The 14,558-nt window shown below is 43.9% G+C and overlaps 1 non-coding gene across 1 annotated transcript, besides 2 other annotated features; it reads left to right on the top strand.

The window, feature by feature from the left end:
• Window positions 2,879-3,440: an enhancer, noted in NCBI's record as "H3K27ac-H3K4me1 hESC enhancer chrX:39512225-39512786 (GRCh37/hg19 assembly coordinates)". NCBI's record gives its function as "activates a minimal SCP1, AML or CMV promoter by ChIP-STARR-seq in naive H9 embryonic stem cells {active_cell/tissue: H9 hESC(naive)}" and the evidence as "EXISTENCE:reporter gene assay evidence [ECO:0000049][PMID:30033119]".
• Window positions 3,441-4,000: an enhancer, noted in NCBI's record as "OCT4-NANOG-H3K27ac-H3K4me1 hESC enhancer chrX:39512787-39513346 (GRCh37/hg19 assembly coordinates)". NCBI's record gives its function as "activates a minimal SCP1, AML or CMV promoter by ChIP-STARR-seq in naive H9 embryonic stem cells {active_cell/tissue: H9 hESC(naive)}" and the evidence as "EXISTENCE:reporter gene assay evidence [ECO:0000049][PMID:30033119]".
• Window positions 11,124-11,229, top strand: MIR3937 (microRNA 3937). The gene has a single exon (NR_037501.1). It is a non-coding gene; the product is annotated as a microRNA 3937 (primary transcript).
• The last annotated feature ends 3,329 nt before the right edge of the window (window positions 11,230-14,558 follow it).

The raw sequence follows: 14,558 nt of genomic DNA on the forward strand, positions 1-14,558 counted from the left end.
TATTACAGCCAAGAAAACAGAAGCTGTAGGTTTAATTTCACAAGACCACAAAATCAAAAATTATAAAACAATAATTATCAGATATTAATAACTACTATTTTTTGAGCCCTTCCTATGATCAGAGGAAGGATTCCTAACAACTTAACTTCCATTACATGGATATCATTATACACAATGTACAGATAAGAAGAGGCTAAGAGAGATAATTGGCCCAAAGTGATATGGTTTGATTATGGTGTCCCCACCCAAATCTCATCTTGAATTGAAGTTCCCATAATCCCCACATGTCATGGGAGGGACCTGGTGGGAGGTAATTGAATCATGGGGACAGTTACCTTCATGCTGTTCTCATGACAGTGAGTGATTCTCATGAGATCTGATGGTTTTATAAGAGGCTTTTCCCCCTTTCACTCGGCATTTCTCCTTGCTGCTGCCATGTGAAGAAGGATGTGTTTGCTTCCCCTTCTGTCTTAATTGTAAGTTTCCTGAGGCCTCCCCAGCCTTGCTGAACTGTGAGTCAGTTAAACCTCTTTCCTTTATAAATTACCCAGTCTCTGCTATGTCTTTAATAGCAGCATGAGAATGGACTAATACACATAGTTATAAGACTTACCCTGCCATCCCTCATCACCTCCCCGACCAAAATATCCCTAAGACTTTGTTCAGCCCAGAGAAACGGCAGGGCTGCACCAAGAATGGGAACAAGGCAGCAGGGTGGGTGAGCCAGAGGATAGGGTAGGGTGAAGCACCTGGAAAGGGAGGACAGTACTAATGGATACAGTGCAGAGAGTGTGTCCCCTGAGACAGACTCAGACAGAAAACAAGCTGCAGCAGCGTCTCTGTGGATGGTGGGCCCAGGGATTCACAGCCTAATGAACTAGATCATGAAATCTCATTTGCGTGTTTGATAGCTCCTGCCATGCGCTCGGGTTCACTTAGGACGAAAAGAAAAGGGGGGGCACTGGGAAAGGGCTCGTTTTCCGTGCTTTCAAAGAGTGGGAAGATTGATGGGGAGAGAGGTCCCAGGGGGCCTCCCAGGGAGGCAGACGTGGCCCAGTAAGCTCAGAGAGCTGGGAGGCCTGAGTCGTCACCAACAGCTGAATGGATGTCCTACACAAGCCCTGGCCAGCACGGCCGCCTGCATGGAGCAAGCCTTGCTGTTGACAATTCATAATTTAACTTACAAAGAAAGAAGCTATGCACATCCTCCTACCATCTCCCAGCAGGATGCTGTAGGAGGGTAGCCATGAGACCCCACAGAGCACCGCTTCTCAAACTATTGGTGATGAAGGACTAGTTGTTTCTTATTTTTTTGTTTTCCCAATCTGTCATGGACAAATCTTTGATAAAATACAACAAAAATAAATCACTGGAGAAAAAAATGAAAAGTAAAAAGTCCAAAGTTTTAGTATTTGGATTCAACAGATGTAAAATTACTCTGTCATATTGTTATAGAAGTTTCAGAATGCTTATTCTCAGTCTCGGTGCTATCTCGTCATTTATGGGTGACAAATTGTTCTTGAACCTGCCCTGGTCTGTAGACCACTCTTTAAATAGTGCTGTTGCAGAGGACTTCAGAACAGCTTGGCAGAGCCTCCTGCCCCCAGTTAGTTATCCAGCCTGAGGGTTTGGAGGTGGGGATGAGACATGCCTAAAGAGAAGATCTCTGGGCAATGGATTTGGCAGGACAAGAATCCATGGCAACCTTTAGTTGAAACCAAAATTCTACAAATGTTGGTGCTTGTTACACTTTCATTCATGACAACTCCCTGAGGGACCCATATTGCATTTGGTCTTCCTTAAACGGGGAAACCAAGGCTCAGGGCCGTTCTGGGACTTATTCAAGTTCACAAGGAGCTTCCAAAGCCCAGGTCTTCCTCCTCATTTCCAGTACCCTCTTCAACCAACTTCCTCGTTCTGATGGGAGGATGCCATTATCTACACAGGAGCCCCCTGAGGGAGATGTTCTCTTCTGCAAGGGCCCCTCTTCCTTGTGGTTGCTGACAGCTTCTGTGGGCATTGCTCAGATTCCTCCTAACACTCTTATCTGCCTTCCTCATTCCCTCTTTCATGAGGAATGGGATCCCAGTCCCTCCCAAAGGAAGGAGCTGAGCAAGATGCTAAATCACAAAACCTCTTCTTCTTGGCCACAGGAACCAGGAGATCCACCTCAGACATTTCCTCTCGCCCACTGTTGAATTGTACCTTCTGGAATTGAGAAGACATCCGGAACCATGGAGGTCTGGACCCTCTGAGCCCTTACTCCTGAACCCCTCTGTCTGAGCCTGTTTTCCTTATCACACTCAGAAGGGAAGGGGCTGTCCAACCCTGTTTCTCATCTAAGCCATCCACAAGCTCACGCTTGTAGACAGACCACCATCTCCCGGCCTGGCAGCTGTCAGCAACAGAAAAACCTGCTTTAGCCAGTTCCATCTTCGCCAGCAGATGTCACTACAGCCTGACCTCAGGTTACCCAAAATGAGTTCCTAATTTGGGTCATGAAGCTCTAGGAGGACCACGGACAAACACGCACCCAGAAGAGAATCCTTTTGCCCTTTTTCTTTTCTTCTATGGGGCAAACTTACTGACTGCCAGTAAGATGTTTTTTATACTTCTGTTTCACCATCTGTAAAATGGACATTTCCACCATGTTCCCTATCTTCCCTACAGGGATGCTGTGGGATTCTGGAATGCCTATGATGTTCCAGAACTAATTGGTTCCCCTCCTCACAGGACCTCAGTTATTTCCTCAAACAGAGGATAAAATTAGAGCACCTTTATGATAATTGACTTGCCTCGCATTTGCCTTAACAGATACCTGGAACCATCTCCACCTACTTCCGTTTCCATAGTAACAGAAGGGTCAAAAAAAAACTAACAAAATAAGACACCTAAGAGGCATAAACAAAATATGTGATGGTGTGGGAGGCTGTAAAGTTTTTATTGCCACCTGTTTGGGAAGACCTGCATAATTCAGTCGTGCTCCTGGCATTTGTGAGCAAAGCAATCACCCCAAAGTTGTGGCAATAAAGCCTTTATAGCCCCCCATGCTGGCACGCCCGCTTTCTAGGTACAAAGCCCCAGTTTGATAAACTTCCGCTTCTCACATTTGCATAATGGAAATGGACTAGATTTTAAACCCAGGCTGTTGGGAGGCATAACTCGCAGCTCTCCTGGAAGTGAATCACGAGCTTTCCTGGGTGGAGGTAGCTGGAAGAGGCACCGAACCCCACCGATAAGACCACAGGGCAGGGCAGGGGCACCAGAAAAGACCCTCCCCGCTCTCTTGGATGTAAGGCCGGGCCAGGTTTTGGTTGAAGGTCACATTGCTCCTGGGTCAGAGAACTATAACATCAAAGCGCCTTTATGGTAAGCACACTGGCAGAAAGAGCCTGTCTAGGGCAACTTTGGGGCAGAAAGGGTGGTTATAACCCAAGTATGTACGTGATGTTCTTTCCCTTCCGACCCTCCACCCCCATGCTGCTCTCTGGCACCCTCACATTTTCTGGTACCCCCTCCTCCAACCTGCCATCCATTGCCCACTATTCCCACAATTTTTTTGCAAAGTGTGCACATTGCGGATGGGGGGAAGGGGTAGCAGTGGCTGCGCTTGGTGCCTCCCCCTCTCGGGAGATTACTGCAGCCCTGCCGGCGCTCAGTGGTAAAAGTTTGAACGTGTCTGCAGAGCTTAATCAAATGCTAATTCCGTGTGGTGAAAGAATTTGCTGGAATCTGCAAGGGAGCTCCTGGCAGCAAGAAAATGCGTTGATTCACTCCCAAATCTGCTTTGCCCAAGCCGGGTGCGATTTAGACTGTAAAGCTGCATTAAATCACAAAGTGCTGTGTGGATCACACAGCCATCCTTTGTGTCGTTAATGAAGGGAAAAACAGGGCTTTATTCTGAAGCTTTGTGTATAATCAGATGCCATGTTGTAAAGCTCTGGAAAACACACCAGAAATCATAATTGGGAGGAAATAAAAGGGTTAGTCCAAAACAGCATATGATTTAAATAAGAAGGAAAAAGAAACTGCCCCCAAGATTTGTGCGTTTCAAGAATCAACTTTTAATTCATTCGCAGGGAGATTACAGAAGGGGAGGAGCAGCCTTTAAAATAGTATGAAAAGCTAGTTTAGATGTAAATGAGAGATAATGGGCTTTCACCAGAAAATAAGCAATGGGGCCAAGTTTGTGCCCAGGGCTGGGGGATGGGGGTGACATCTTGGCCTGCAGGGCTCCGGAGCCCTCTAGATCCAGGTGCCGCAGACAGCGTGGGGTTTGCGGCCTGTTAGGAGCAACGGGAGGATTTGGGGCACAGGGTCTGGTAACCAGCATTCGGAGGAAGAAAAAATGGTGTTGCCTGCCCGTGTTGGTTCCCAAGGGTCCTGGGGCTTGGCGGAGTTGGGGCTGGGGGAGGTCTTGATTGTTGCTTTAACACAGAAAATCTCCTTGGTGTGAACATTTTGAGGTCGGTAAGGAAAGGGGTTGGGGCTTTTAGGCTTGTCTTACAGCTGGAGTTAAGGAGCGCTGCGCGGAGCCCTCCCCAGCCCTAATTCACTAATGATTTGCTTATTAGTTCAGATCAGGGAGCCAGCTTCTGGAGAGATGTGAATTGGCATTGATTTAATCCTCTTCCCAGCACGCGTTCCCGGCCCTGGGTGAGGCTGGGAAGGGAGAGGGGGGCTGCCAGCCCTTTCAAGAGCAAGTTGCTGCTTCTCCTGTCTGGCTTTGTCTGCTTTCCTTACCATCTGCTCTCAGGCAGAGAGGAGCCATGGATGGAGGGGGCGAGCCCCAGAGTCCAAGCCCAGGCTCTAGATCTGGTTGACCCTAGTAATGCTGAGCTCAGTGGCCTCCTGGCAGGTACAGCATATAGATGAGATGCTGTGAAGGTCCCTCAGCTCTGGCATCTATCATTAGAGGGACTGGAGCCTCTGGAACATCTTAGTGGGGAGGAATTCTGCCCATAATGTATTTGGTGTCCTGTGAGCCAGGTGCTGTTTCATGTATGATGTCACCTGCCTCTCCGGTAGATACCATGATTATTCACACTTTACAAGGGAGGAAGCCGAGCCTCAGAAAGGTTAAGTAACCTGTCTAAGGTCACACGGGTAAAACATTGGAACCCAAGCTGTATAACTCAAATCTTTGATCTTCACCACACATTATGTGGTTTAATCTGAGCTGCTTCTGCTTGAACATACCTTCTTGTTTGATTATCTCTTTATAAACTGCCATTGAGAACATTTTTCTCCATCCTTCTTCTAGCTAGATGATTTAATAATGGCCAGGGACTTAGTATTCTAGAGCATACTGCCCATGGTTCATCTTAGTGACTAAGTACCCTTTTCTGAGCAAAACAAGAAGTACAACCCAATGTTTGTTTTTTCCAACCTGATTGGCCCAATTCTAGTCCCAGCTCCGCAGCTTTGCTTGGGTGGTTCTCATGATCTACACTCCCCATCCTTCCCTTCTCCACCTATCTAAAGCCTACCAATACCCCCAAGACTTAATTTAATCCATTAGCACCCACTCTCACCTCTCCCACAGAGAGTTCTCTTTTCTAGACCACCATTGGGCACTTAACACACCTTCCTGCGCCTATCTTTCCATATGTATCTGTGCTTTTCTCCTTTGTCAGCCTGAGCTTTTAAGAATGGAAACTGAGTCTTCCACTTCCCTACATTTCTAATTCTACAGTGTCTTGAACATAGTGCTCCCTCAGAAAATACTTGCCTGTTAGCTGATTAATAAAACTTGGGACTTGACTTACGGTTTCTTTGGAAATCTCTGGTGCATATCTTTTCAATCCCTGTAAGCCTGGCTACTCCTCAACAGAGATCCATTACAGATCTCACTCAGTTTCTGAATGCTATTAAGGGTCCAAATAAAGTTTGAGTTTCCAAGAAATCCCTGTAGTTGGCTTGTCCTCAAGTCAGTTCCAAAAGAATCCAACCAACATTTATTAAACTCCTACTGTGTGCCCAGGCACTGTGCTAGGCACGGAGGATATCAAAATTAATAAGATGTATAGGGTTTGCCTTTTCATCTGGAGTATGATTATATCCTGAACCAGACAGCCATTGCATGGGGCTCCCCCAGGAATGGTAAGCTTTGTAAGAATTGGGATAATGCCCAGTTTTGTTCACTATTCTATCTCTAGCACATTACACAGTAGAAGGCATGCTCAGTAAATGTATGTGGAATATGATTATGCAGAGAACTTTGCCATGTTAACTCACAGAATCTTTACCCCAACACAGTGAAATTCGTATATTGATTTCCATTTCATTGACGAAAAAACAGATGCAGTGACTTTATATAAGTTTCTGGAGGTCATATGGTAGGGGAGAGGCGTGGACAGACCCATGTCTGTCTGGCTCCAAACTCATTTATCACATCCCTCACCCAGGACACCCAGGACTCCCTCCTGAGTCGGTAGAAGATGGGGCAGAAAGGTATGAACCAATTCTGGCAAAAGTGTAAGTTACCATCGTCCCCTCAACACCCAATTCATAGACTAGCTTAAAAGAAATTGCTCAAAATGAGCCCACCTAGTCCTTGGTTTCTAAATACCATTTCCCATCAAAAGGAGGCAGCTTCCTTGGAGAAACAGATTAAAAGAGGCTGAAGAGACATGACGACTAAATGCAATATTGATCCTAGATTGGACTGTGGATCAGAAAAAGAACGTGCTACAAAGTACAGTATAGGAACTACTGACAAAATTTGACTATGGCCTATACATTAGATATTTTTCTATCGGTATAAATTCCTTGAATATAAAAATGGCCTTATGGTTATGTGGGAGAATGTCCATCTTCTTAGGCGAAATATATAGAGGTGAAGTGTCATGATGCCTGTACATTACTTTCAAATGGTTCAGGAAAAAGATAGACAGCCACATGTGTAAATATGGCACAATAATAATTCATGAATCAAGGCATGGGGCATATGGATGCTTGTATTATTTTTTCTACTGTCTGAAGGTTTAAAACTTTTCAAAATAAAAATTGAAAGAGGAGATAATTATGCAGAAATGGCCCTGAAAATGTTACCCACATCCACCAGAAAGGTCTGGAATGGAGACTGGGGGTCACAGTAAGTAGATAGCTGCTGAGAAAATGGGTACATTAGCTGATGTCCATTCTTACAAGAACACTCTCAAGAAGCTTTTGTGGAAACAGACCGTTTTTTATAGGGTTTTTAAATGCGAAAGCAAATTAACTACTACGTGCCATTAAATACAGAGCTATACCTGTGAAAACCCTTGAGTGGTAACCCAGGAGGAGGCAGAAGCAGGTTTGAGGTATCCCACCTCCACTTCAGAGACTAAAACCTGGGCCACTTATTACCTAAGGTAACACCTAAATGTCAAAAGGCAAGGACGGAGCCAGAGAGCAAAGCTTGCCTGTGAATACAAATGGGAACAGGCTTTCAAAATAAAGCTGAGGTTCAGGTTCCAATACTCCAAATGCCAATCAAAAGACTCATTTATTTTTTAAATATGTGGGTGAGAGTTGAGAATTACATCTGAAAGGCCACTATCCTGGAATAAGCATAGAATCATCCTGTAGATTTCTGAATATGCTTGTCTGCCTCAGCTTTGGCTTAGTGAGTTGGGCTGTGTGTGTGTGTGTGTGTGTGTGTGTGTGTGTGTGTGTGTGTGTGTGTTTTAGAATAACATGAGGAGGAGGCATTGCTAATTGAAGTTTTCATAAACGAGCATCTATTTGTGATTTTTTTTTTCCAAAATAAAAATTCGGGTGAAAGAAAAAAGAAATGCTCAGACCTGGCCCTGAAAATATCTATCAAAAGTGGATCTAGGGAGTGGAGATAGAATATTTGTAATTAAACCCTTGAGTGGTAATTACAAGGTGGTTGGGCGCGCTGGCTCACTACTGTAATCCCAGCACTTTGGGAGGCCAAGGCGGGTGGATCATGAGGTCAGGAGATGGAGACCATCCTGGCCAACATGGTGAAACCCTGTCTCTACTAAAAATACAAAAACTTAGCTGGGCCTGGTGGCGCGTGCCTGGAATCCCAGCTACTCAGGAGGCTGAGGCATGAGAATCACTTGAACCCAGGAGGTGGAGGTTGCATTGAGTCGAGATCGTGCCACTGCACTCCAGCCTGGCGATAGAGGGAAAGTCCGTCTCAAAAAGAACAACAAAAAAAAGAGGTTGGGGGGATGAATTTTAGGTCTAAAATTTTGCCATAAGTGGAACAATCATTGATGACAGTGATGAACTTTTATGTCAACACTTTGAGGAAGGGGTCAAACCCAGAAGGCTTTCTGGAGACAGCCTCCCTGCTAATAAAAGTTAGGATGCTTTGGTTTAAGAAGTCTCTGATTTCTGTTAGTGAAGTTCTGGTGATGCCTTTAGTAGCTAGTGGCAGAATTTCCTCCTAACACCCGGCAGTTGAGGGGTGGTCTCTAACTAGGGCAGCTTACAAAGCAGATGACCTTGTTCTCAAGTGGGTAAGTTCAGCTCACTGCCAAGGAAAACTCTCACTGTCACCATGATCACCCTGCTATACCAAACAGCCACTCTGAAAGCCAGTTATGGGTAGAAGTCCTGCTCAGGGCTCAGGAGAGCAAAGCCTCTCTCCTTCCTGGCTGGGCGCCATTTTGTTTCTCCCGGGGAGAAACTCAGAACAAAGGCAAGAACAGAGCTGAAGAGAACCAGGGGCAGACCCTGCCAACAGAAGATAGTTTCATTAAAAAAAAAAATAGGGACAGCCTTGTTCTTTGCTGTAGGCCATGGTTATTGCTGTTTGGGTTTTGCTTTTGCTTGTGGTAAGTAGATTATTGCAGAGAACAGAATAATTCAACCTTCTGCTCTGCCTTTGAAAAGTTCTTATAGAGAAGTGTCCCCAGGCTGAAATAAAAAATGAGTCCCAGCAGGCCGGGCGCGCGGTGGCTCACGCCTGTAAGCCCAGCACTTTGGGAGGCCGAGGCGGGCGGATCACCTAAAGTTGGGAGTTCGAGACCAGCCTGACCATCATGGAGAAACCCCGTCTCTACTAAACATACAAAATTAGCTGGGCGTGATGGCACATGCCTGTATTCCCAGCTACTTGGGAAGGGTGAAGCAGGAGAATCACTTGAACCCGGGAGGCAGAGGTTGTGGTGAGCCGAGATCACGCCATTGCACTCCAGCCTGGGCAACAAGAGCGCAACTCCATCTCGGGGGGGAAAAAGGGTCCCAGCCCTGAATGACATTGAGTCTTTGGAATGTATTTAGATTGCCTTTTTGGTAAGTTCCTTTCTCTAATTTTGTAAAAGTGCCATGTGCATTCAAAAAGAATATGTAATCTGTTGGTTGAATGTCAGATTCTATTCATATCCGCTAGTTAAAGTTTATTAATTGTGTGGTGCAAATCTTCAATAGCTTTATTTTTTGTCTCCTTTATTCATCAGTTTCAGAGGCAGGAATCTTAACATCTCCACCTACACTTCCTGGTTTATCTATTTTATTCTCTAGTTCTGTCCATTGTTGTTTTAAATACTTGAGGTTGTGTTGATAATTGTATAGAATGTAAATTCTAATGAAGATAAGTATTTCTGTCTGTTTTGGTCTCTGCTATCTCCTTCAAACCTAGAGCAATGCCTAGAATATTATAGGCATTCAATATATTTTACTGGCCGGGTGCAGTGGCTCACGCCTGTAATCCCAGCGCTTTGGAGGCTGAGGCAGGCAAATCCCTTGAGCTCAAAAGTTGGAGACCAGCCTGGACAACATGGCAAAACCCCATCTCTACAAAAAATACAACAAAAAGAAATTAGCTGGGTGTGGTGGTGCACACCTGTAGTCCCAGCTCCTCAGGAGGCTGAGGTGGGAGAATGGCTTGAGCCCAGGAGGCATAGGTTGCAGTGAGCTGAGATGGCGCCACCGCACTCCAACCTGGGTGACAGAGTGAGTCTCTGTCTCAAATATATCTACATGAATAAATGTGCTTTCATAATTGTTATATATTCTAGAACTATTATTCCTTTTCTCCGTATGTATGATTCCCCTTTGTCCTTTATGATATCTGTAGTTTTTAATGCTGTTTTGTCTGATATTAAAATTGCTGCCCCAGCTTTATTTAATTTATATTTCCTGATATATCTTTTTCCATTCATTTAATTTCAGCTATTCTGTATTCCTTAGTTTTAAGAATACAAAATAGATCAAGGACATGGTGGTTCATGCCTGTAATCCCAGCAATTTTGAGAGGCCTAGGTAGGAGGATTCCTTGAGCCCAGGAGTTTGAGATCAGTATAGACAATGTAGCGAGACCCCATCTCTACAAAAAAATATTAGCCAGATGTGGTGGTGTGTGCCTGTAGACACAGCTACTTGGGAAGCTGAGGTGGGAGGATAACTTGAGCCTGGGAAGTACAGTGAGGCTTTGAGGGTACAGTGAGCCGTGATTGCACCATTGCACTCCAGCCTGCCCAACAGAGCAAAAAATAATAATAATATAAAATAGCTGAAAGTAGACAATAGCAGTCTGGGTCCTGATAGGTGAGTTTGGCTCACTTATATTTGTTGTAACTACCATTAGGAATTCATTTTGCCATCTTATTTCCCATTTTCTACTAACTGTAATTTCTTTTTGTTTTCTTTTTTTCAGACTATTGACAATATCAAATGTCTCTCTGCTAGTTTATAAGCTACAAATTCTAAGTTTATTCTTCTGGTGATTACCTATACCGTCAATCAATTTGTTAAACTTATCAATACCTATACTGTGGCAGCTCGTATTTTCCAAAGATGGTCCCAGCAATATCCCCCGTGTCAATACTATTCTATGTCCCACAATCGTATTCTACAATGGCATATTGACACTCCTCCCATCCAGACAGAGTTAGGGGTGGAGGGTCTATATCCTCTGCCTTAACTCTGGGCAGACTTGTGATTTGAGTGTAACTTGAATGCATTGTAAGTGACACTCAATGACTTCCAAGGCTAGGTCCAAAAAGGCGACACAACTTCTACCTTGCTTGTTGGATCATTGGTGCTGGAGCCCTGAACCACCATTTTTAAAGTCCAACTATCCTGAGGCTGCCATGCTATAAATAGCCCAAATAGCCCACGTAGAGAGGCCAATTAGAGAGGCCCTGAGACCGTGTGAAGAGAGAAGAATGCCCAACCAGCCCTCAGTTGCTACAGTTCCCTGTTGTTTCAGCTCGACAACAACAGGCGGCTGTAGCAATGGGGGGCTGGATGGGCATCTCAATGTGCTTCTCCCACATTGCTTCAGCCACAGTCTAATTGTAACCACATGAGAGACTCCAAGCCAGAACCACTCAGTTAAGCCCTTCCAGAATTCCTGACCCACAGAAATCATGAGAGATAATAAAATGATTGTGGTTATTTTAAGCCACTAAATTTTAGAGTAATTTTTATATGGACATAACAACTGAAATAGATACATTTGCCTTAGAACAAGAAAAGTACTATATAGCATGTTCTAGCATCCTTCTCGTTTCTACCCACACTGCTACTGTGTTGATGTCCCTAGAATTTTGCTCTGGATTGATATGAATGTACTTGGTAGAATGGTGTCTGTTACCTTTTTGTTTATTTACTTATCTTTTAGCAACAGGGTGTCACTCTGTCACCCAGGTTGGAGTGCAGTGGCAAGATTATACCTTACTGCAACCTCAAACTCCTGAGCTCAAGCAATCCTCCCACCTCAGCCTCCTGAGTAGCTGGGACCACAGGCACAGGCCACCACGCCAGACTAGTTTTTTGTTGTTTTGTTTTGTTTTGTTGTTTGTAGAGACAAGGTCTCCCTATGTTGCCCAAGCTGATCTTGAACTCCTGAGCTCAAGCAATCCTCCTGCCTCAGTCTCCCAAAGTGCTGGGATTACAGGCATAAGCCCCCACTCCCAGCTCACTTTTACCTTTTTATAGAGCAATATGCATACTAAGTTATGAAATCTATCCTGCTGAGGATTCTGAATCTATGTATCATAAATTCTGAAAAATTCCTAGCTATTATGTCATTGAACATTTCTTCTCCCACATTGTCTTTATGCTTTCCCTCTGGAGCTCCAATTAGTTATATATGAGAATTTTTTATTCTATTCTCCATATCCTTTCACCTCCCTTTTCTTTGTTTCTCTGTGCTGCATTCTGGGTAATTCTTTGACATCACTCTCTGGTTCAATAATTTCTGTTTAACTTATATACTGAGATTTTTTATTTCAATGACTCTGTGTGTGTGTGTGTGTGTGTGTGTGTGTGTGTGTGTGTGTGTGTGTGTTTTGTTTTTTGACATTTCTTTTTTTTGTTTTGTTTTGTTTTGAGACAGAGTCTTGCTCTGCTGCCCAGCTTGAAGTGTAGTGGTGCAATCACATCTCATTGCAGCCTCAAGCTCCTGGGCTCAAGCTGTCCTCTTGCCTCAGCTTTCTAAGTAGCTAGGACTACAGACTCACACTACCACACTCAGCTAATTTATTTATTTATTTATTTATTTATTTATTTATTTATTTATTTATTGTAGAGACAGGGTCTTGCTATGTTGCCCACACTTGTCTCAAACTTCTGGCTTCAAGCAGTCTTCCCATCTCAGCTTCCCAACGCTCCAGGAATATAGGTGTGAGCCACCATGCCCAACCTCAGTGACTATATTTTTTTATTTCTAGAAGTTCAATTTAGTTTCTTTTAAAAATATACATGCATGTTCCTTTTCATAGTGTCTGTTTTTTCCTTTATGTTTTCATTGTTTAAAAACATAAGCTTTTAATCATCTTAAACATGCTAATTATGGGCCAGGCATGGTGGCTCACACCTATAATCCCAACACTCTGGGAAGCCAAGGCGGGTGGATTGCTTGAGCCCAGGAGTTCAAGACCAACCTGGGCAACAAAAGGAGACCCCCATCTCTACAAAAAAAATTTTTAAAAATGAGGCAGGAGGATTGCTTGAGCTGGGGGAGTCGAGCCTGCAGTGAGCCATGATTGAGCCACTGCACTCCACCCTGGGTGACAGTGAGCCCCTGCCTCAAAAAAAAAAAAAAAAAAAAGCAAATTTTATGGTCTCTAATAGATTGTTTCATTATCTGAAGTTCTTGAGTGTCTAATCCTGCTGTCTCTTGCTCATAGTGAAATCTTTTTTCAACTGTTTTATATTTTTGAATTGTGAGCTCATCATAAACACGGCTTTATGTGTAGGAATTTTGTGAGGCCTGATTAATGGGGTCTCCTGTGAAGTTTCGTTTTTGTTTTTGCCAAGCTGTCCAGAGGTTTCACTATCATTTTTATAATAATTTATGGCTGGGCACGGTGGCTCACACCTGTAATCCCAGCACTTTGGGAGGCCAAGGCGGGTGGATCACGAGGTCAGGAGTTCAAGACCAGCCTGGCCAAGATGGCGAAACCCTGTCTCTACTAAAAATACAAAAATTAGCTGGGCATGGTGGTGGGTGCCTGTAATCCCAGCTACTCGGGAAGCTGAGGCAGAGAATTACTTGAACCTGGGAGGCAGAGGTTGCAGTGAGCCGAGATTGTGCCACTGCACTCCAGCCTGGGCGACAGAGCAAGACTCTGTCTCAAAAATAAATAAATAAATAAAATAAAATTTCTGAGCTTGGGGCTCCAGCACCACATAAGGAATATATATTTAATTCCAAACCCTCATAAGATATAGTTCAAAAATTTCTCAGGAGACATTTTTTTTTCCCACTTGGAGCCTAGACCATGACAGACAAACCCCTCTGGGTCAATGGGCAGATTTTTTTCTAATCTACCCTCACACAGAGGTTTCCACTTTTACAGAATGTATGTATCACATGTCCAACTTTTTTGCCTTACAGGGACCCAAAGCATCAACTCTTTGTCACCCCCCCACCCACCCCTCCCACGACCTCAAGTGGACATTAAATGGTCTAAGGACCTAGAGTACAGAATCATTGTCTCTCCCCATGTGTCCCCACCCTAAAACAGTCACATAATCATTCACAAGCTCACTGCCCTAGTTTTCAGTACCTTTTTCATTCACAGCCCGTCAATTTCCTGTGTGCTCATCTATTCATTCAAATAAATATTCGTTTATTTCTAGATAACTGAGGAAAATGGGTTTTCAGGTTATCTTGATCACAGTATTTCCAGAACTAGAAGCAAAAATGTATTTATATAAGCAAATATGAAATCCACCAGTTTCTGAGATTTCTGGCCGTGATACTGATATTCTTTACTTAAGTATCTCTGACAGATAAATGTACTGGTTTACATTTGTGCACATATTTTTAAACATTGCAATCATAAGGGCTAGCCACTGCCCTAAGTTTCACTATATGCGATAGTAAAACTCCTGGCAGAATGTTTGGCCTGCTGAATGGAATTGTTCCTTCATAATTAGAACTCTGTCTTAGTATCTCTTCTGTTGGTCTCTACCTAAAAATACTCTTGCCTTTATATTTCAGTAGTACTATTAAGTCATTAACCAGAGAGGTAATTCTGAGTATGAGAAAAACATATATGGGCTTTGGATTCAGGAAGACATGGCTCTGTTTTGCTTCCCAGCTGGGTGTCCTTGGGCAATTAGTTCTATCTGAGCCTCAATTT

This window comes from Homo sapiens, chromosome X (assembly GCF_000001405.40).
Source record: "Homo sapiens chromosome X, GRCh38.p14 Primary Assembly".
In the NCBI taxonomy this organism is placed as follows: Eukaryota; Metazoa; Chordata; class Mammalia; order Primates; family Hominidae; genus Homo; species Homo sapiens.